Source organism: Homo sapiens, chromosome 12, assembly GCF_000001405.40.
Source record: "Homo sapiens chromosome 12, GRCh38.p14 Primary Assembly".
Lineage (NCBI taxonomy): Eukaryota > Metazoa > Chordata > Mammalia > Primates > Hominidae > Homo > Homo sapiens.
In genome coordinates, this window is record NC_000012.12 from 28361835 (window position 1) to 28386216 (window position 24382).

Here is a 24382-nt window from a genome sequence, read left to right on the forward strand (position 1 = left end):
TGGAACTATTTCTTTTGTCTTATCTGTTTTCTGTGTGTGTGGGAGGGGGGCGGGAGGGGGTGTTTCTTTTTGTTTTTTCTGTTGTCATTTCTGATAATTTTGTTTTGGAAGCTGGACATCATATGTGAAAAACTGGAAAGATTGTAGGATGTTAACAGTGTCCAAAGAGACTTCATCCTCTCCTGTCCTAGGTAGGTAGAATTGGGGTCTAATCATATTCCAGTGGTTCTCAAACTTTGGGATGTATTAGAAATATAGAGGCCAAGGCTTGTTGCAGTGACGCAGGGTTTCCCATCTCTTGATCCATGTCAAGAATTGGCAGATGCCCCAAGGGAAAGTACCTTTGCCTTGTGTTATCTCACCTCTCAACATGGTTTTCCTTTTTCTCTTGTTTCCCTTTAATTCCTCATTGCCTCAGTGTTCTCCAATGCTTTTAAGCAAAGCTTTATATATATATATATGTTTTCTCTTTGTTTCCAGCTGTAGCATTGATGTGCCACAAACCACTGAATCATTCGTGGAAGCAGCAAAAGTCTATGGTTTTATTATTTTGAAAACAAAACAGAAGAAAAACTCATGGTTTTAGTTTCTTTTTTCTTTCAGGAAAAACATAAACAAGAATTGGAAGACATGAGGAAAGCTGGTCACGAAGCCCTCAGCATTATTGTGGATGAATATAAGGTAGAGGTTTGAGAGTGTTTACTTTTTTAAACCTTGGATAACTTTAGTAAAAAATGTACACATGTAGGTATGTGCAAACATATACAAATTATATGTGTAGTCTTATTTTGCTATAGAATTTCTTTCCATTCAGCAACAAATATCCATTGAAAGCATACTCAGTGGATTACAAAGGTAATATTAGACACTGTTCTGAATTTGAGAAAGTTTGAGAATATTTGAGAATATAGTATCAGCAGGTAAAGAAATTCAAGTACAAAATAATATAGAATTAGTTGCTAGATTATCTTTTTTGTCTCTGCTGTGGTTCCTCTGACAGGAAAAAAATTAAGGCATGAAATATATCAGAAAAAAATATTATACCTTTTTGCTTTTCTTTTCTTAAACAAATTAGATAGATTTGGGTACACTTTAGCAATAACAGAAATTATCATGTCAGTATCATACAGTAAAACATTAATATTTAAAATTATTTTAAAAATTATTCAATTCTGTGCCTGCATAAGCTGAAATATTTAAAGCACATTGAGCATTTAATGTCAAATTTTTATTTCCCTTTAAACTTCATGTTAGATCATTTTTCTTTTACAAGTAATTAAGGATGAATATGTTTTTATTGAAATAAAATTCAAACAATTCTCCCTAGAAGTAACCAGTATTGGCAGTTCCATTGTATATTCTTCTAAGAGATTTTTCCATCTACTTTTATATACTTAAATGCTCATAACAAGCTATATAGTTTTGAATTGATTAAAAAAAATGTTATCTTACTAAATTTACTCTTTCTTGCTGTATTTACTCACTGACTTGGAGATATTTTCATGTCAGTACATATAAGCTTTTCCTATTTTTGTTACTCTTCTTTAGTTTTTACAGTATAAATATACCATAATTTGTTTAACCATACATGTTTACATAGGCATTTTGTTTTTCATTGTTCATTATAATAATAAATATAAAAAATCCCTATTACAGTTAGAATATAGAAATTTTTGTGTTGTTGATTAAACTTCCTCACTAGACTTGTTAGAAGTTAATGTCATTTTAGTTGATAATTTAGTGTCAGAAGCTTCCGTAAATCATTTGGGCCGGGCATGGTGGCTCACGCCTGTAATCCCAGCACTTCGGGAGGCCGAGGCAGGTGGATCACAGGAGATCGAGACCATCCTGGCTAACACGGTGAAACCCCGTCTCTATTAATAATACAAAAAATTAGCCGGGCATGGTGGCGGGTGCCTGTAGTCCCAGCTATTCGGGAGGCTGAGGCAGGAGAATGGCATGAACCCGGGAGGCGGAGCTTGCAGTGAGCCGAGATTGCGCCACTGCACTCTAGCCTGGGCAACAGAGCAAGGCTCCATCTGAAAAAAAAAAAAAAAAAAAAAAGAAAAAAGAAAAATCATTTGGATAAAAGTAGGAAAAAAAGTAGATCCAGAATTAAGTGAAAAGTGTTTTTTTTTTTTTCTTCACCTAGGGTATTAAAATAGTCTACTAGATATGTCTTAGGACATGAAAGGCCATTTTTGTGACCATACCCAATATAGTAGTTGATGCTCATTGTTAAAAAGGTCATTAAAAAATGTCTGATTTTGGCAGAGCATGGTGGTTCACATCTGCAATCCCAACACTTTGGGAGGCCGAAGTGGGTGGATCACCTGAGGTCGGGGGTTCCAGACCAGCCTGGCCAACATGGTGAAAACCCGTTTCTACTAAAAATATAAAAATTAGCTGGGCCTGGTGGTGCACACCTGTAATCCCAGCTACTTGGGGGAGGCTGAGGCAGGAGAATTGCTTGAATCTGGGAGGCGGAGGTTGCAGTGAGCCGAGATTGCGCCATTGCACTCCTGCCTAGGTGACAGAGCGAGACTCCGTCTCAAAAAAAAACAAAAACAAAAAACAAAGTCTGATTTTTATAGCAATGATAATTGGCCCTTTTATAATGTTTTTAATATTTTTTCTGTTAATGTAAACCAGTTTTACAGTTATTGAGTTGAGGAAAAGTCCTATATTATTATAGTATTGATTTTGTCAACTTATTTTATCCCTAACGCTGAGGGTGGGAGGAATTAAAATACAATTGGCCTAATATATTTGCAGATTCCATAACCATGGATGAGAAATGTTTGGGGAAGAAAAGCAATAAAAATAACAGTACAACGGTAAAAAGTAACACAAATTACTTGCTATCTAGAAAAAGAGAAGCATACGGTAAAATAATTATCACATGAACTTCTCATGCATGAATGTAGGATCAGGAAGAAAATCATTCCACTTCTTGTTCTGTAATGTACCACAAACCATCAACACATTATGATTTTTTCTATATGAATTATTTTACCTTTTTTCCATATTATTATGAAAGCTGATTCTCAGCATATTTTAGAACACCTTCGTTGCAAAATTTTACATGATATCCAGTATATCTGATAATATTTCTCCTCAGAGTACTATAATATTATTGTACAAGATGTGGAATTCAACAAGTCATATGATTAATCAATATGCAATGAATTTTCACTGATTTAAAAGTATTTATATCCTTTGACTATAAACTGACTGTGAGCTATGAAATAAAAAATTAAATATAACTTCGTAGGCAATTTGATTGAATTCCTAATCCATTTTAGCAAGTCATCTTATAACATCTGAAAATTTTACATTTCTCTTTAACTGAGTGCTAAGTAATGGCGCTGGACAAATATGTAAAATGAGTAGCTCTTAACCAAATTTCTTCAAAATGCCATTTGTAAATACTAGAATAGTTTTCACTTATGATTTTAACCTCCTTAGTTACCAGTATTGAAATTTATACCAATAAATACGTTTGCAGCGAAGAAAATATTGTGGAGTTAGAACCAAAAAATGATTTAAAAACATCAAAAGCAACCTGTTTAGAAAAACAGCTAAGCACACTCACAATAACAAGAAAAGTAATTTTTCATTAATATTTTTAAAGCCGTATTTTACTGTAGTATATGAAAATTTGATAGATGATTTGTTAATTATTAGGTATTTCAAAAGGAAACCAAAATATCTCTAGTTACTATTGTTAACAAAAGTTGTGTGAACATTCTCTTTGCATTTATTCATTTCTTAATTCAACAAAGATTATTCATTATCTTCTTTATACCAGGGATTATTGTAAATACAGCAGTGAGCAAAATATTCCAATCCTTGTTTCAGTGGGATATAATTCCATATCTACATTCCATGACTACATATAATATTTAGGAAGGAAGGAACTTAAAGTCATAGCATTCCTTGACATTTCAGTTTTCAGGGCTTCACACTTTTACCTCTCCCTCCCCTGTAAATGTTTACTCAAATATGCAACTGGAATAGAAAAATCTGTTACTGTCTCACCACCAGTCCTGGCTCCTGGGGATCTTACGTCTTTCTAGTTATCCTGGACTAGATGTAATCAATCACTTTTTTCCTGTCCCTGTTGAGCTGAAATATTGTTGAGGAGTTTGAAAAAATGCTCCTTAGAAAAGAAAGTGGAAAATACCAAGTAAAGTAAAACAAAAATGGCAAAAGCCTAAAATGTAATGCATAGGAAGATAACTTATGTTTGTATAAACCTCTGCTTTCAGAAATATGAAGACATGACTTTTTATATTTTTCCTACTTAGTACAGATTAAAAAAAAAACTGGATATTTTATATAAAAATATAGTCCCTGAAATAAGTCCCTGAAAGTAAGACAGAAACAGGCAGACTAGCTAGGAACCATGACACCCAAGTAACTACATAGTAGTGGGTTCCCCGGATTTTCTTTTTACCCTTTTTGTCCCACTAAAGCACTGGAGAAGTGAGTAACCCAGAAATAGCAATGGGCGTATAGAAACAAACCTCACGAAAAGCCTGCTTTCTCTAACCAAAAGCCTCCACCTAGTAAGACAGAAAACTATTAGATAATACCCATTCTACTTCCACCAAGTACCATAGGAAGAAATGGCAGTGAAGGCTTGTTAGAGAGAGAACTTAGATTTTCACTTTTATCAGCTTATAAATGAGGAACTCTTCTATCTCCTCACTGGGGTGGTGTTAATGAAGGTGAGGCAGGGAACTAGGACTTTAATTCATGCTGGGCAATAAGCCCCCTTCCTACGAGTGTCGGGATAGGCCATCTAGGAAACTAGACTTCTGCCCTAAGCTGGCGTTGATGAGGTATTCCTCCCTTACTGTGTTGGGAAGGTATCAAGGGATACCTAATGGGAATCAAGACTGTCATTTCTGCTTGGTAGTAATGAGGCCACTCCTCTGTGGTTTCAGTGGATGGTTTGTGGGGAACAATAATGTGGTACCCTTACTCCTCACAGCCGGACTGGTATTGATGGAGGCCTGGTGGGAAGCTGAACTCCCAACCATGTCCAGAAATAACAAGGAGATCCTTGTTCCCTGTATGCTGAGTGCTAGTAGAGGCTGAGTTGGGTACTTAGACTTCCACCCTACCTGGAGGTTTTCATTTTTCTCGGCTGGAGTGGTGTCCTGTCAGAAGAAATCTCCTGAAACATGATTTCAAACGTCTAGATTTCAATTAAAAAATACTTATATAATACTCATATCAGGAACCAAGAATATTTTGTCTTGAATGAAAACCAAAAAGGACAACAGATGCTGAACTGAGCAGATTCCAGTTTTAGAATTATTTGTCAAGAATTTTAAGTATCTGACAAGGATTTTAAATCATTAATTACAAAAATGTTTTAACAAGTGATTATGAACATTCTTGAAACCAATGTGAAAACAGAAAATACCCGCAAGTGTCAGCAAAGTAATAGACTGTATGAAGAAGAACCAACTGGCAATTTTAGAAGTAGAAATACAATAACCAAAATTAAAAACTCAGAGATGGGCTCAATAATGGAATGGAGAAATAAGGAAAGAATCAGTAAATTTGAAAAAAATAGAAATTACCCAATTCGAACAGTATAGAGAAAACAAACTGAAAACAAATGAATAGGGGTTTAGGAATTTGTGGGATTATGATGAAAGACCTAAAATTTATGTTATCCAATCCTGGAAGGAGTGAAGAAAGAAGGCAAAACTTAAAAACATTCAAAGTAAGATTAGCTCACAATTTCCCAAATTTGGCAAAAGATAATACTGCATATTTCAGAAGCCAAATGAACTGCAAATATGATAAAGACAAAAACAAACAAAATGCATGTCAGCACCCACTATAATGGTTAATTTATGCATCAGCTTGACTGGGCAATGGTTTCTAGATATTTGAGCAAATTTTATTTGAATGTTTTTGTGAGGATTTTTTTTTTTAATTCAGATAAGATTAACATTTACATCTGTGAACTTTGAATATGGCAAATTTCCCTCCATAATGTAGGTGGGCAACATCCAATCATTTGAAGGCCTTAACAGAACAAAAACTGACCTTCCCTGAACAGGAAAGGATTCTGCCAATAGACTGCCTTTGGGTGCAAGCTGCAACATTAGTTCCTTTCTGGGTCTCCAGCCTGTCAGCCTTGTTTGCAGATTTTGAACTTGATAGCCTGCATAATCACATGAGCCAATCCCTTAGAGGAAGTTTTTCTGTGTATTTGTACATATATGGATTTATTTCTCTGGAGACCTTAATACACACGTAGCTAAACTTCCCTCAACCAAAAATTGAAAATCTTTAAAGCAGCCAGAGAAAAATGACATTTTACCTACAGAATAACAGAAATATGATAGACGTTTCATCAGAAACTATGGAGGTCAGAGGAAATGGAACAAGTGCTGAAAAAAGAACTTTTAACCACAAATTTCATATCCAACCCATATTTTTCCTTTAATTCTTTTGTTATTGAATAACTTATTTTTGGTGACTTTAATTCTTTTAAAATTACTGAGGCTTATTTTATGGCCTAGCCTCTGATCTATCCTGTGCACTTGAGTAAATGTATATCCTGCTATTGTTAGATGGACCATACTCCAGATATCTATGGGGTAGATGGTTTATAGTGTTGCTTAGGCTTTCTCTATGCAGTTGATAATCTGCCTAATTTTTCTAGCCTTTATTTAATGTGGGGTGGTGAAATCTCTAAATATTATTGTTGAATTGTTTACGTCGCTTTTAATTCTGTCAGTTTTTACTTCATGCATTTTTTGGATATTTTGTTAGTTACATATCTGTTTTTAGTTGTTACATGTTAATGTTAGTTTGTTTTCATACTGTTATAAAGAACTACTAGAGACTAATTTATAAAGAAAAGAGGTTTAATTGCCTCACAGTTCTGCCTGGCTTACAATCATTGCAGAAGGTGAAGGAGAAGCAAGCACCTTCTTCACAAGGCAGCAGTGGGGAGAGAGAGAAAGAGAGAGAGAGAGAGAGAGAGAGATCAGAAGTGCACACTTTTAAACCGTCAGATCTTATGAGGACTCACTGACTACCATAAGAACAGCATGCTGGAAATCTGCCCCCGTGATCCAGTCACCTCCCACCAAGGCCCTCCCCTGACACATGGGAATTACAAATCAAGATGAGATTTCGGTGGGGACACAAAGCCAAATCATGTCATTCTGTCCCTGGCCCTTCCCAAATCTCATGTCCTTCTCACATTTCAAAATACAATTATGCCTTCCAATGTCCCCTAAAATCTTACCTCATTGCAGTATTAACCCAAAGTCCAAGTCCAAAGTCTCATCTGAGACAAGGCATATCACTTTTGCCTATGAGCCTGTAAAATCAAAAACAAGTTAGTTACTTCCAAGATACAGTGGTAGTACAGGCATTGGTAAATGCTCCCATTCAAAATGGAAGAAATTGGCCAAAAAAAAGTAGCTACAGGCCCCATGTGAGTCTGAAACCCAGCAGGACAGTCATTAAATCTTAAATCTCCAAAATCATCTCCTTTGACTCCATGTCTCACATCCAGGACATTCTGATACAAGAGGTAAGCTGCCAAGGCTTTGAGCAGCTCTCCCCCTGAGGCTCTGCGGGGTGCAGCCCTGTGGCTGCTTCCACAGGCTGGCATTGAGTGCCTACAGGTTTTTCAGGCATACAGTGCAAACTCTCAGAGGATATACCATTCTGGGGTCTCAAAGATGGTGGTCCACTTCTCACAGCTCCACTAGGTAGTGCCCCAGTGGAGACTCTGTGTAGGGGATCCAACCCCACATTTTCCTTCTGCACTCCCCTAGTAGAGGTTCTCTGTGAGGGCTCCTCCTCTGTAGCAAACTTCTGCCTCGACATCCAGGCATTTACCTACATCCTCTGAAATCTAGGCAAAGGCTCCCAAATCTCAACCCTTGCCTTCTGTGCACCTGCAGTGCCAACACCACATTGAAGCTACCAAGGCTTGGGGCTTACACCCTCTGAGGCAATGGACCGAGCTGTACCTTGGCCCTTTTTAGCCACAGCTAGAGCTGGAGTAGCTGGGACAGTGTGCCATGTCCAGAGACTGCATAGAGCAGTGCGGCCCTGAGACCATCCCACACAACCATTTTTCCCTCCTAGGCCTCTACGGGCTATGGGAGGGGCTGCCATGAAGATCTTTAAAATGCCCTGAAGACATCTTCCCACTGTTTTGGCTATAAACATTCAACTCCTTGTTACATATGCAAATTACTGCAGCCAACTTGAATTTCTCCCCAGAAAATGGGTTTTTATTTTCTATTGCATGTTCAGTCAGTCTGCAAATTTTCCAAACTTTTATATTCTGCTTCCCTTTTAAAAATGAGTTCCAATGTGAGATCATCTCTTTGTGAATGTATGACTGTGCACTTTCAGAAAAAGTTCACTTCTAGAATGCTTTGCTGCTTAGACATTTCTTCTGCCAGATATCCTAAATCATGTCTCTCAAGTTCAGCATTTTACAATTCTCTAGGGCAGGGGCAAAATGCTGTTGAGTCTCTTTGTTAAAGGATAGCAAGAGTGACATTTGCTCCAGATCCCAATAGGTTTCTCATCCTCCTCTGAGACCACCTCAGCGTGGGCTTCATTGTCCATATCAGTGTCAGCATTTTGGTCAAAACCATTCAACAAGTCTCCAGGAAGTTACAAACTTTCCCACATCTTCCTGTCTTCTTCTGAGCTCTCCAACATGTTTCAACCTTCATCTTTTACCCAGTTCCCAATTTGCTTCCACATTTTTAGGTGTCTTTATAGCAGCTCCCCACTCCCAGTACCAATTTTTTGTATTAGTCAGTTTTCACACTGTTGTAAAGAACTACTTGAGACTGGGTAATTTATAAAGACAAGAGATTTAATTGACTCACAGTTCCACATTGCTGGGGAGACCTCAGAAAACTTATAATCGTGGCAGAAGGCAAAGGAGAAGCAAGCACCTTCTTCGCAAGACAGCAGGAGAGAGAGAGAGAGCGAAGTGGGAAGAGCCACACTTTTAAGCTGTCAGATCTCATGAGAACTCACTCACTATCATGAGAACAGCATGGAGGAAATCGCCTCCATGATCTAATCACTTCCTGCCAGGCCCTTCCCCTGACATGTGGGAATTATAATTCAAGATGAAATTTGGGTGGGGACACAGATCCAAACCATATCAATCTTCCTGATGGATTCACTCTCTTATCATATTTTTTTATCTCTAGTAAGATTTTTTTTTTGGTATAAAGTCTATTTTTTTCTGATATTTAATGTAGCCACTCCCATTCTATTTTGGTGGTGGTTTGTATAGCAGGGGTCCTTAACCCCCAGGCTGTGGACCGGTACCATTTCGTGGCCTGTTAGGAACTGGGCTGCACAGCAGGAAGTGTTGGTGGGCAAGCAAGCATTACTGCCTGAGTTCCACCACCTCAGATCAGTGGCATTATATTCTCATAGCCATGCAAAACCTTATGGTGAACTGCACATGTGAGAAATCTAGGTTACATGCTCCTTATGAGAATCTAATGCCTGATGATCTGAGGTTTAACAATTTCATCCTGAAACCATCCGCTTTACCCTAGTCTGCGGAAAAATTGTCTTCCATGATACCGTTTCCTGGTGCCAAAAAGGTTAGGGACTGCTGTATATATTTTCCCATCCTTTTACTTTGAACCAATTTGTGTCTTTGAATATAAAGTTTGTCTCTTGTACAAATAGAATTATATGCATATTATTTTAAACAATTGCTTTTTAAATCAGTTAAGAAAAGAGAAGCAGCATCCAATTATGCTGTCATTTAAAATTACCCTTATAATTACTGCTCCCTCCATACCAGTGGGTTCTGCATCCATGAATTGAACATTGTATTCATTAGGTGAGAAATCCATGGATATGGAGGGCCACATTTTTGTATCTGCAGGTTTCACAGGGCCGGAGGCTTGAACAATCTCAGATTTTCGTATCCTAAATGGTCCTGGAATCAGTCCCTTTGGATATCAAGTGGCATCACTACCTTTACTGGCATGCTTTGTTTTTCACATAGATCAAATTACTATCTGGAGCTGCTTGCATTAGTGTGAAGAACTTCCTTTAGTATTTATTTTCTTCTTCAAATTTTATGGTTTTGGGTCTTAGATTTAAGTCTTTAATTCATCTTGAGTTGATTTTTGTGTATGGTGAGAAATGGAAATCCAGTTTTATTCTTCTATATGTGGATATCCAGTTTTTCCAGCACCATTTGTTGAATAGGGTGTCCTTTCCTCAATTTATGTTTTTGTATGCTTTATCGAAGATCACTTGGCTGTAAGCATTTGGCTTTATTTCTGGGTTCTCTATTCTGTTACATTGGTCTAAGTATCTAATTTTATACCAGTACCATACTGTTTTGGTTACTACAGCTTTGTAGTATAATTTGAAATTCGGTAAATATGCTTCCAGATTTGTTCTTTTTGCTTAGGATTGCTTATTTGGGCTTTTTTGTTTTATATGAATTTTAGGATTATTTTTTCTATTTTGTGAACAATTATGTTGGTATTTTGATATTAATTCCATAGTATCTGTAGATTGCTTTGGGCAGTGTGGTCATTTTAATGGTACTGATTCTTCCAGTCCATGATTATGAGATGTATTCTCATTTGTTTGTGTCATTAATGCTTTTTTTTAAAATTTTTTAGCAGTGTTTTGTAGTTCTCCTTATAGAGATCTTTCACCTACTTGGTTATGTATATTCCTGGGTATTTAAATTTTTTTTTTGTAGCTATTGTAAATGGATTGTGTTTTTTATTTCATTCTCACCTTTGTTGTTATTGGTGCTACTGATGTGTGTACATTGATTTTGTAACCTGAGACTTTACTGAATTCATTTATCAAATCTAAGAGTTTTTTGGAGGAGTCTTTGGGGTTTTCCAGGTATGCAGTCATGTCATTGGCAAACAGAGATAGTTCAAATTCCTGTTTTCCAATTTAGATGCACTTTATTTCTTTCTCTTGTCTGATTGCTCTTGGTAGGACTTCCAGTACTGTGTTGAACAGAGGTAGTGAAGATGGGCATCCTTGTCTTGTTTCAGGTCTTAGAGGAAATAATTTCAAATTTTTCCCATTCAGTATGATGTTGGCTGTGGTTTGGCATGTTTGGCTTTTATTACTTTGAGGAATGCCTCTTCTGTGCCTAGTTTGTTGGGGTCCTTTAGTATTTATTATAAGTTGTATCTCCTAACAATTAATTTGTGTATTTTTTCACTTGCATTCTTTAAAGTTAGTTATTTAAAAAATAAGATTGTAGGCAGTTTTTGTTCGTTGATTTTAGTACTTTGAATATGTCATCTCATTGCCTTCTATCCTACATATGAGAAGTAAGCTGTTAATCTTTTTCAGATTCTCTTATACACTATGAGTTATTTTTATCCTGTTTTCAAATTGTCTGTTTTTCACTTTTAGTATTTTGACTGTGATGTTTCTAGGTGTGTGTCTTTTCATTTATTCTATTTGGAAGTCATTTAGCCTCTTATATGTGTAGATTGTTTTTCATCAATTTTGGGAAGTTTTCAGCCATTCATATTTTTTCTCCTACTTCTCTTTTCTCATGTGTTACTTTCATTATGTATGTGTTAGTTTTCTTAATGGGGTCTCACATGATTTTTAGGTGTAGTCATTTTTGTTTGTTATTTATCCTTTCTCTGTTCTTCAGATTGTATGATCTTTATCAGTAGTTCTTAAGGTTTACTGATTCTTTCTCCTCGTAACTGACATCTATTAATACAAGTTTCTATACATTTTTTTTTTGAATAAATGCTTCTCAATTTGTTGTAAGACCTTTGATCAATTTTCCAGAGACTGAATGATTGCTTTGCCAGTTTACCTTGTCACATGATTTGGCTGTGTCCCCTTCCAAATCTCATCTTGAATTGTAGTTCCTATAATCCCTACATGTCGTGACAGGGACTCAGTGGGATGTGATTGGATCATGGTGCAGTTTCCCCCATGTTGTCCTGGTGATAGTGAGTGAGTTCTCACAAGATCTAATGCTTTTACAAATGTCTGGCATGTCCCCTGTTTGGACTTCTCCGTCCCGCCACCCTATGAAGAAGGTGCATTGCTTGCCCTTCACCTTCTGCCATGATTGTAAGTTTCCTGAGGCCTAACCAGCTATGCAGAACTGTGAATCAATTAAACCTCTTTTCTTGATAAATTACCCAGTCTTGTGTATTTCCTTCTAGCAATGTGAGAACGAACTAATACACCCTACTTAACAGATGACATTCTGGAGTAGAGGTTCCCCCTGCTAGCTCCTCATATTGCCATTCCAGAAGTTCCACCCCCCTTTCCTTGTTTTTTAATCCAAATTAAAATAGTGGTTACTCTGTTATCAATATTCTTTATTTCAAAAATGATTATCCTGAGGTCAGTATTATGAAAGACTCATGACATTCTCTTTATTCTCAGTGCATTGACAAAAGTTGAGGGTTTGTTTACGTCATCTGGTCGTATTGGATCACCTCAACCCATGGATCTTTGCTGATTTCTTTTTCCAATTCTTTTTTTAAAATGTAGGACTGTTCTTTTGCATGAATAATTTGAGATTACACATTTCATGAGTTTCAGAATATATATTTTGGGTTTATCATTTAAAAAATTGCTGTTGCTTCAAATATTAATTTAAACCTTAATAAAGTGCCATATTTATTTTCCTCATGGATAATCGGATAAAACAATATCCTAAAGCACATTTTTATTAGCAATATCTTATGTACCTAACACCATTTAAATGAACTAGCACTTTTTAAAGCTCCCAAATCATGTGATCAGCTGTTTCTGATTTAAAAATAACAGTAAGTTATGATAGGACTTAAACTTTTCACAAATAATTGAACATTCTGATTCACCTAGAAATAGTCCTGTATTTAAGAGATTAGCTGACCTCATCCAACTGGAATTTACTTATTTTGAGTATGTAACTCTGTGTTCATACAACTTTAAATCATCTATTCCAGGAGCTGGCTAAAGAAAATCTGTAACCCAATCCATGTTTAAACCAATTTAAGACCTAAAGTTATTATGTTCTATTAGGCCTAATATTCTTATTCTGTCTTTAGTGATTTTATATAATAATTTATAGACCTTTATTCTTTGATTTCCTGAAGGAATGTTACATGCCTGCCAGAATTTATACTTTGAGACTGCTAAGTACTTCTGTTAGTAGAGCTGATTACGAGCATAGATTTTTGAATTCAGACAGACCTGGATCAGAGCCCCACTTCTGCTATTTACTAATATTTTGACCTTGGGCAGTTTTTTTTTTTAAACTATTTTAGTTTCTTCTTCAGTAAGTGATGGAATAAACCATGGAACCTATTCATAAGAGTGTTGTGGGGATGCAGTGAGAAAAATGAATATTGCATGGCTAATAATTAAGCTCTTAAGAAATATTAGGTATTATCATTATCATTTCTATATGTAACATGTCAGATTTTTTTAGTGTAGCAATTGCAATACTTTTTCATTATCTCATAGCTGATCATTAGTTGGTTGTCTTCGTATAGATTCTTATTTCAGTCTTCTTAGAAATATCCACTTCGGAATAAAAGATTGTGGCCCATCTCTTCACCTTCTTGGGCTCAGTTAAAGGCAGCATTCTTTCGTTAACTTTGAAAATAAATAGATTGCTACAGATTGATGAAAAGGACGTGAAATTTTGTTGAAGTACAAAAGAAAACAAACAAAACTAACCTAATGTGCCTCATATGCCAAATTTTCCCATGTTTACTTAATTTTTTTCTCTTATGTCATGATTTCAAAAATCTTTTATTCTGATAATTAATGACAGTAAAATTAATGTACATCTTGGAAGACTACATAGGCACATGCCACATCGAAGATTGTTTACTGCAAGCAACATAAGAATTTTCCTTTACTTGTTTAATTGGGCTTTTGTCTTGAACTTGTCATTCTCTAATATATGCACTCGCTCAGACTTCATGAGTTCTTAATGTCTCATCTTAATGTTCTCCATCAAAGATTACCATCTTATCTATTATGTAGAGTATCATATTTTTGAGATAATGAGGAACTGTATTAGCATGATCCTTTTTTGTTTTAAGGTCCACTCAACAGTTGTGATTGATCAGGTTACTTTAATCCTTTGATTCTCAACTTCTACAGTGCATAGTAAATTATTTGTGTTGCTTTTTAAAAATGCATATGCCAAGGAGTTTTCTTTCCTGGAAATTCTGAATCTGTAGATGTAGGTAGGGGCTAGACATTTGTCGAGTTTTTCTTTTTTAAAAAAAATTCTATTAAGTTATTCTGCTACCCCATGGGAATTATTAACCATTGTCCTATCTTTTTATATTTGTTGGTCAATGTATTCTATTTTCTTTCAGCCATTATTTTTCTAATTTTTGTTATTAATTAATATTGAGTCTCTTAAGGTTTTGTGGGTGGGTGTGCATACGTGTATGTGCTTATATTGTATCCCATTGAAATTACTGAGAATTTTTTTCCATATAAGAAAGATGAAACAAACCCTAACAGAAACCAAATGAGTGTATGATGGACTGCTGTTTTTAATACTTAAGAAAAAAGTGAGTTTTAGCTGTAACTAAGAAACAAAAACTTGTCCTACGTCAAGATTAAAAAAAACAAAAACTTATTCCTTGTTTTCCTTGATGTGGGATAAGTGATCACAGTAAGAAAAGAATTCTTTATAGTGCAGGATTGGTATAATAGCACAGAGGGACTATCAAAGAAAGTCATACATGGAAAAAATACAGGCATATTTGCTAAAATAGATGTAACATTATAGCTTAAGGAATATGATGCCTTGTATTTTTAAAGAGAAAGTATCTTTTTGCATAGAGGTGTTTACTTCTCATTTTTCTTTTCAGAACTTTCTCCGTATACATCTATTCAGTTAATAAGGTAGATATTAGTGCTTGAGGTAAAGTCAATTCAAATGTTAACTCATTCTCAAAATGACTGTTCTTTGCATCCTAAATAACATTTGGGAAGAATTTTCCAAAGGAAGTATTTAGTTGACTCAATCAGTGTGTTAAAATTCAAAGTTGGAATTCCTGCTAACATGGTACAATAGTGAGTGGAAAGCACTCAAGAAATTAAGTTCAACATGTTGTTTTTATTTTGTCTCATTTTGAGCTCAGTTCATTAAAAATTCCAACTTGATGCAAATAAGGTATGAACATTTAGGTTAAAACTTTTGTTTTGCTACTGTGTAAGGAATCTCTTTTAAGGCAATGACAGCTGCCTCCTCTCTTCCCCCTATTTTTTTTTTTTTTAATATCGTGTTTACTTAAAGATAGATCAGTTAGAAAAGGGGCTTTCCCTTTTGAAACTCTCATCTAGAGAGGTTTTTAAAATTTCATTCTGTAGTGATTTTCACAAGTTGTTTTCGTGGTTCTGGCTTGCCTTGTTTGTTTTTTTGATGTTATACTCCCTGTTGTTTTCGTTTTTTAACTTAAGGGATTTAGACGTTTCACAAATTATACCACATAGGAAAAGTGTTGAAACATTATCGAATTTTGATGTAGTTGACAGATTAAAAAGAATGCTAAGTAGAAAAATAGCCTGAAAAAGGCAAAAAAGAAAATGTAGTTTGTTTTAATATTTTATGCACACACCAGATAAATTATAACTGTACTGATTTAAAGGCGTATTTATGTTTCTTGGCCCATCTGTGGGTGCCTAAACTAAACATTCTCTGTATTGTTTTTTGGACATGTGAAAATTAGTTACTTATTATTACATTCATTTTGAAACCAGAAGGGTTTATTTTTTAATTTTTTTATATCATCTTCTCAAACTCTAGGGTTTTCCCCTCTGGTATTTTGTTTGCATGCATTTGGCCAAGCAGAATACATTTTAAAAACTTATCATTATAAGTACCTATACATTTCAAGATATTGCCACTACAGCTAGACATACAGACACACAAACTCATTTTGCATTTGCAGTCTTTGTTTCTGATGCTTGACTAAGTTGGTGATCTTTAATTCTGTGTATTATATTCCAGATGGCAAAAACCAGTCAATGCTGGTCACTTGAATAGTACTTATAAATACTTTACCATCTTAATGAGAAAGTAAGGAATGAGGAGATTGTTTTCTAAAGCTTTACTTAGATCATTTTATGAAGATAATTTTCTGATATTTTTCTCTTCCTCTTATATTTAAATATTAGGGTATTGAATTAGGTACAATGAAGTTTTAACTTATTAGGCACATGAAATTTCTGCTACTTACAGTGAAAAAAGATGCAAAATTGCTACATACACTTTAGTAGCTCTAAAATCATTGTGATGAAAATTCTCAGTATACTAATTTCCTATGTTAACCAAAGTTTGTTTTGTTGAGAGTTTTGGTCTTTTGTGCATTTTCTGAAAAGGTCAGATATATGCTAAATACTTTTTGTTAAGGATTGCTTTGAATTTTAGCAATGTAAAATATGTCACATGCCAGCTTGAGTATCACATGACTGCTGTATTCTTATTTTTCAAAAGCATCCACTTGCTAGTATTTTATTTGAACTCTTAAATTGTTTGTACCGTTTTATGAAGGAGAACATATTACATTTAGGAGACCAATATTTTCCCAGGGTGTAGAGTTACTTGTATTGTATAAAGTTCTTTTCCAAGGAGAGAGAAACAATTTTGTTTTCTCTTCCTTTGATATTTTCCCTTGATTGGATATTGCTAAGTTTTTGCTCAAAGAGAGGAAAAGTAAAAATTAAGATATGTAAGACCTGACAGCATATCTTTATTTGAATTCCACCATTTTGTTAATCCAAAGGTATAAAATAAATTTATAGTTTCAGTTATTTGATTGAATAAGGATTCTCATAAATTCCAGCTTTTATCATATGATCAGATTTTTCCTGGACAAATAAAGATGTTTGCTGTTGCCAATAGAGTTTGGCCCACTAGCATGCTAGCTAGATACTAGTGATTGGTTTGGAGCTAAGGACTTGGCTTGTCCTTTCTTATCCCTCCCACCAACTTAACCTCAGTGGAGGATTGAGAAAGATTTGGTAGTTGAGAATACTTCTGTGTGCCTCTGTGTTTCCTGGGCTTAGCCAGAACTTTGCATGCACAGCTATTCTTGTGGTTTTTCAAGCCAGGCCAAAACCAAAAGGTATTGGAAACCTTGCCAGAAGCCTCATTCTAATATAGATTTAAAGCTTGCCTTTATACTGTGACTGGTCCATTAGCTGATAGTCAAAGGAATGAAGAGGAAACCTTCATTCTATTTTAGGAATAAAAATTTCAAGTTTCTGTTGTGTAGCAGACTTTTAAAAATAATTCCAAAGATAAAAGACCTTAAGATGTGTAGAGTTTACATAAAAACCCTAGAAGAAAACCTGGGAAATACCATTCAGGACATAGGCATGGGCAAGGACTTCATAACTAAAACACCAAAAGCAATGGCAACAAAACCAAAATTGACAAATGGGATCTAATTAAACTAAAGAGCTTTTGCACAGCAAAAGAAACTACCATCAGAGTGAAGAGGCAACCTACAGAATGGGAGAAAATTTTTGCAGTCTACCCATCTGACAAAGGGCTAATATCCAGAATCTACAAAGAACTCAAACAAATTTACAAAAAAAAAAAAAAAAACCATAACCCCATCAAAAAGTGGGCAAAGGATATGAACAGACACTTCTCAAAAGAAGACATCTATGCAGCCAACAGACACATGAAAAAATGCTCATCATCACTGGCCATCAGAGAAATGCAAATCAAAACCACAGTGAGATACCATCTCACACCAGTTAGAATGGCAGTCATTAAAAAGGAAACAACAGATGCTGGAGAGGATGTGGAGAAATAGGAACACTTTTACACTGTTGGTGGGAGTGTATATTAGTTCAACCATTGTGGAAGACAGTGTGGTGATTCCTCAAGGATCTAGAACTAGAAATACCATTTGACCTAGCAATCCCATTACTGGGCATATACCCAAAGGGTTATAAATCATTCTACTATAAGAACACATGCACACGTATGTTTATTGCAGCACTATTCACAATAGCAAAGACTTGGAACTAACCCAAATGTCAGTGATTTAGTTAGTAACTTAACCCAGTGATAGACTGGATTAAGAAAATGTGGCACATATACACAATGGAATACTATGCAGCCATAAAAAAGGATGAGTTCATGCCTTTGCAGGGACGTGGATGAAGCTGGAAACCATCATTCTCAGCAAACTATCACAAGGACAGAAAACCAAACACCGCATGTTTTCACTCATAGGTGGGAATTGAACAATGAGATCACTTGGACACAGGAAGGGGAACATCACACACCAGGGCCTGTTGGGGGTTGGGGGGCTGGGGTAGGGATAGCATTAGGAGAAATACCTAATGTAACTGACGAGTTGATGGGTGCAACAAACCAACATGGCACGTGTATACCTATGTATCAAACCTGTACCTTGTGCACATGTACCCTAGAACTTAAAGTATAATAATAATAAAAAAGATGTGTAGAGTTTAGTTAGTTGTTTCAGACATGTAAGAACTCTTTTCCCTCTCAATAATTTTTCACTTACTAAAATGAACTTTTCTGTTTTATACTACATCAGGTTAATATTTGTGACTAATGTTGCTCAGACCTGAATGTTGTAGCAATGTGAGTCTCATTCTATCAGAATATTCTTGATTAATTACAGATTTCTGCTCATTATAACAAATTCAGGCCACTGTATCATTAGTTTCTTCCAAGGGCCATAATAAGATTATTTATTCATTTTGACCTGATTGAGATTTGACCTGTTCTGATGCAGTTGAAAGTTTTTTTCGAATCTGTTTCTAAGCTTGTTCAACAGGTTTCTATCTTCAGTAATAATGCTGGAGGACTGATTATACAGTAGCATTTGTAAAGGGCATATTTCTTTAACAATATCAATCAATATAATGTCAATTATTTAGTTTTTAGTCTTTCATTATTCTAATGAACTGAATTATCAGTAAGGTCTATCTAGATTCAAGCATTTTCAGTATTAGAGAAAAGCACTACCTAATTATACTGCAGGAAAAGTACTTGTATGTGTGTGCTACAGATTTATTTTTATTTATTAGCCACCAATATTTCTGTTTGTGAAAGGCCACACAATATAGTTGTTACAGGCAAGGGAGATAAACTGATGAAATTTAGACATGCTTACACTCATTAAGGATATATACACAAAAAACTATTTGTAAAGATGATGGTCTGTAAAAGTTTACTTTTGATTTTTAAATTTCTTTCCGGTTTGAATAGATATTGAGAATGGTTAAATTTATTATTTATTCTGAACTATAAAACAGACTGAAAAGAAAAGCAGAGATGTAATAATTAATGTGAGAGAGAATAGCATTTTAATATGTCTGTTTTGTTTCTGATTGCAACCCAATATTAAAATGGATGTTTTGTTTTTAATCCCTACCTTCTAGGTAATCAACTTTGGGAAACCTGATTTATGAGAATATTGATTTTATACCAAGGATAAATTAATAGGGGATATAATAATTTGCCTTATCAAAATATCATTTTTTTTTGTCATGGTAACATATGCACTTAATGCAAAATTGAAAAGATATAGAATTATGTATTATAAAAATTAATTTTGCTCCCATTGGTATTTGGGCATCAGTCTTCTCTTTTTCCTTTATCTTTTCCAGAGATGGGATAATATGCATAAAGTTGTCACATTTCTGATTTTCGGTAATTTGACTGTCAAATTGCTTTATAGCAATCGGAGGCAAATTCCATTTGAGAACTAATCCATAGTCTGCTTTAGTTCATTTTACTCAGTTCATCAAGTTCAAAGGTTACTGTATTTTGTTGTTTTAGTAGGATATTCATGTAGCCAATTTTTTTGATAATTTTGTAACAACCCAATCTGAGCTGTTGTTAAATCAGCAAGCACTACTTGGTGCCATTTTATTATAGTGAGGTATTTCCATATCATTTACTATAGTAATAATTACCCTGAGCCACTTGGATGGCTTTGTCCCTTCCTCTGAGGCTTCTTCTCAACTCACAGTCAAGGTGGAGCTTGGAACTGCAGGGGACCTCTGGCCCTGTATCTGTTCTGGGGATGGCATCTCTTCTAATTTTTTGATGCCCAAACTGATGGATTTTAAATATTTTTATTCACCCTTAATGTAATCACATCTGTCAGGTACCAATGGTAACTTTAAACTGAGAAATAACTAATAGAAGTATTTATACTTGTTATCTAAGTTCACAAACTCATTCACTTAGTCTCACAATCTAGTCTGCCTCAAAATTTAGTCTTAACATGTTTGCTGTAATAACATTGATTTAAGTCAAACCTGTAATCTCTTAATGTTGATGGCTTTTCAGTATGAGGAAAAGTTCTAATCTTTGAGATCTATATTTTATGAATGGAACTGAATTAATTGGGAGGAAAATACTAATTTTAAAATAATATTTATAATAAATTTTAAAATATTTATTTTAATCATCATAAACCTAGTAATTAAAACAATAATGTTGATCCTAGGTTGAATCCACAGAACATGAATTTCCTATGTCATAAAAAGTAGGTAATTTAACTCTCAAACAACAAACTGTTAGAATACAGGATTTCACCATTAATGTAAAAAAAAATTAAGTGTCATAATTTGTCAGAATGCCTTCATCATTGGGAGAGAAGAAACTCTTCTTCTCCTCATATATGAGATAAAATGAGGAATCTAATACATAGAGAAACATGGTGCCTTGATGGAACACATGTAACCAACAGAAGAGGAGTTGTAAATAAAAGCCACATCATTTAAGGCTTGATTCAGGGCTCTTTTCAAGAGTATACCGCCTCCTTGCAAAGTTAATTCATATGTATTTAAACAAATATTTTAGACATCTAGATGAGTTTATTTCTTCCCATGATCAGTGATTTTATATTTCAGAAAATGAGATGCATAGGCCTTTACTGTATTAATAACTAGGTGCTCTACTTAATTGTATGAATGATTATGAAGAGGTTATTTTGGTCAGAATTTTTTTTTCCCTTTCCTTTTTTTAAACTGAAACTGTAGCTCTTATTCAAGTCACAAGGAATAATGTGGCATCTGAGGGAGAGGGATATCCATATGGCAGCCTTTCAAAAGGTTAAAGTATCTGGAAGGCAGACATGCAGAGTCTCTGTGCTGTACTTAATTTTAGAAACTTCTTAATTTTAATGTGTTGTCCATGGCACAAAAGAAATTTTCACTGGGAGACTTTTGTGGTGTTTGAGGTAACAACTCTTATGTTACTAGATTCCCTTAACAACAAGGCCAACAGGAATGATTCCCTGTGTCCTGAAGATTTTCTTTGGCTTTCACAGCTTCCAAGGCACTTTATAGCGTGGCTAGACTTTATTGAATTTTCATGTTTAGATCTACACCCATAAGTTAACATTTTCCTTTTTGAATTGTGTAGTACTACTGCACTGTAATTCAAATACACAGAAAAATCTGAGATTCATTGCAATTCCAAATGCTTCAGATCTGTAACAGGATAAATTTTCAGCAGCCTCAACTTGACCTTGCTACTTCTCTTCCTTTTTTAAATTAAGGAAAAATTTGGAAGGGAGAACTTGTTTGTTTCTTAATTCAGCTTTTCCAAAATTTTAGGTAATAGTTTCCATCACTATCACTCTTCAGACAACTGTAATTTACTCTTGAGAAACATGTACCTTCATTCTTCCCAAAGGTTGAGTTCACAGAGTCTGGATGTTGCCTAACTTCTGCCTGGCTGGGCTGCGGGAGACCATGATCCTGGACTTGAATTTGGATCCAGATTTGAGTAAATGAAATTTTTAAATCTAAATTGAGTGTTTGTCCCAGAGAATTACAAAGAATTTTACATTGAACTTTTAGATCATCTCTTGATGATAGATTTTACTCATATTATTTCTTTTATATTCCAACAAAATTTTCTGAAACGTCTAAATACTGTTTTCAGAGATGCTTAATGTTTCTCCTCTAATACAACCATGTACCTCAGAGATTATTGGTTCACTGATCTGAAGCTCTTTTAAAATACATGGCTATGTGTGTATTTGTGTGTATGCATAATTAAATCAAGCTATCAGTTTATTCTTCTGAATTATAGGCAAACAAAGCTATAGATTGAAGTTTTAGACCTCCAAATTGGCTAAAGATATATTTAATTAAGCCAAGAGCCATTGGGGATTAAGACAAGTTGGTAACCAAGAACAGCATTCAGGGCCAAATCTAGTCATTTGCCATCATTTGGATACTATTTCTTCATTTTCATAGTCTTTTTTTAACCAGTCTCTTCATGATAAAATGGAGAATGTAAGTATTGCAGAAGAAATGTATATTAATAGACAAAGTATCCAGATGAGGTTCAAGTAATTATTACTTCATAGATGTACTTGCAGTAAATATATAATTATTACTGATAGTAAGTATATTTACAGTACTGCTTGCAAGAACATGTAAAAACATAAACTCATGTAGTTCTTATTAGGATTAACTCTTTCACTACCAGAGAGAATAATTGCATTATCTTTAATTCTAGAGCATATACAAAAAAGTTCATGCATGGTGCATGAATTATCAGTTTCTAACTTCCATGCATATGTGTAGCCCACCAAAATCAATGCTACATATTTTCATTCTTACACGTTGTCCATTAATGGAGAAAATTTTAATAGCATTTGAGTGTCTTTGGTATTTTTCCAGTACCTAGAACAGTGTTTAGGAAAATATTTATTGACTAAATGAATAATAAATGAATAATTGAGTGACTGATAAAAATGAAATAGCTGCTTAGTCCACGAAAAGAGAAATCTGCTTTACTGGGCTAGAAAAGCTAAGACAAATGGAAACAAATGGTTAAAACTGATTTTTTTTTTGTACCACTGTGTCTTTTCATGTGATTTTGGCCATATTTATTAACCACAGTGTCTGTCTTCATTTGTAAGGCAGGTATGTAAAGTTCATGGAGGAAAAATAGATGAATGATTCTGTAAAACGACTGCGATTCATCATTTTTACAAATGTACCTCATTCAAGTAGGCTCTCTTTTTGAATAATAAACTTACGATTTGTTTGCAGTTTTGAGGGGATATGATAAGACATGCTAACAATTTAATATCCTTACAAAACTTGAAGTAATATTTTGCTGAAAAAAGGGCTTGTACCAGAAAAAAAACATAAAAATATCTCTTCATAGCTTTAGCTTATTCATTTGGCAGATACCTTTCAGTTTTGCTCATGTTATTTTTAGTTAAAAATGAGAAAACAGAAGAAATAATAGAAATAAATTTTTTAAACGATAGAAAAAAGATGTTTAAATAATTTGTGATATTTTTCCAAGAAAGGTGAAATTGTGGTTGATTTCAGATGATACTTTATGATTATTTTGTATATACTATTATCCTCAAGCTAAACTAAGTGTATAATTACAGGTATAATCAACATAAAAGTTTTAATAATTTCTGTATGAAGGGACAAATAATCAGGCTTGCCTAAATCATGATTAATTTGTTTAGTTACTCAATGTATTTGTCATATATCTTCTATGTGTCAGGCACTGTTGTAGGTGCATTGGGTATTATCAGTGAGGTAAACACAGATTCCTAGTCTCTTAGGTCTTAAATTCTAGTTGAGAGATTATATTTGTTATACGTTTTGCTTCCTGCTTGCACTGTATCTTTATATTGTTCTCCATTTGTAAAGTATGACTTAATGGGTTGTTAGATAAAATTATTTTGTGACTTTCAATATAATTTAATTATTGTTGCTTACAGTTAGCTATGTAGGATTCTTTTATGGTCACATAATCAGTACAAAGATGATATTAATATTTTGAAGACCTTATTCCTTAGACACATCTGCTCTGCAAATCTGGACAATCATTTAATTTGATGAGGCTGGAATCAGATCTGAAACAATGGGGCTATTTCAAGGGAGGAGAAATCTGTGGATTTGTTGGGACAATGGACTGTAGTCTGGGTTGCAGTAGTCTACTTTGGCTATACTTATGTCATTCAAATTCCAGCATGCAATCAGTTCCACTAAAGAAATACACATCTAATTCTCACGTGTATTAACAGTTGGGGTGGTGTGGCATGATTTTTGACTTAATACCTTTGTTTTCTATGAGTTTATAATATACTTTTCCTTCCCAGAATTTATAGTCCTTCACACTATTTACTCACAGTTGAGCCCGTGGAGTAAAAAGAATGAATATTTCTTGTCTTAGATAATAACTTAAAAAATTGAGATCTCTGGTCGGTACCAAATGGACTTGGTAACAATTTTGGTGACTTGTCTTGGTAGTTATAATTTGTAGCTTAGTGAACTTTTCAATAAATATTGGTACTGTTGATAGTATATA

At 34.6% G+C, this 24382-nt stretch overlaps 1 protein-coding gene across 37 annotated transcripts in view; it reads left to right on the plus strand.

Annotated features, from left to right (window-relative positions):
- CCDC91 (coiled-coil domain containing 91) overlaps positions 1-24382 on the plus strand; it is a 359711-nt gene that overhangs the window by 171379 nt on the left and 163950 nt on the right. For 36 of the 37 annotated variants that reach the window (NM_001352086.2, NM_001352079.2, XM_047429083.1 and 33 more), the window contains one exon: positions 604-681. The exons of the other annotated variant lie outside the window; for it this stretch is intronic. In NM_001352086.2, the coding sequence (NP_001339015.1) occupies positions 604-681 (78 nt within the window). The remainder of the gene's footprint in view (positions 1-603; positions 682-24382) is intronic. 37 annotated transcript variants of the gene reach the window in all.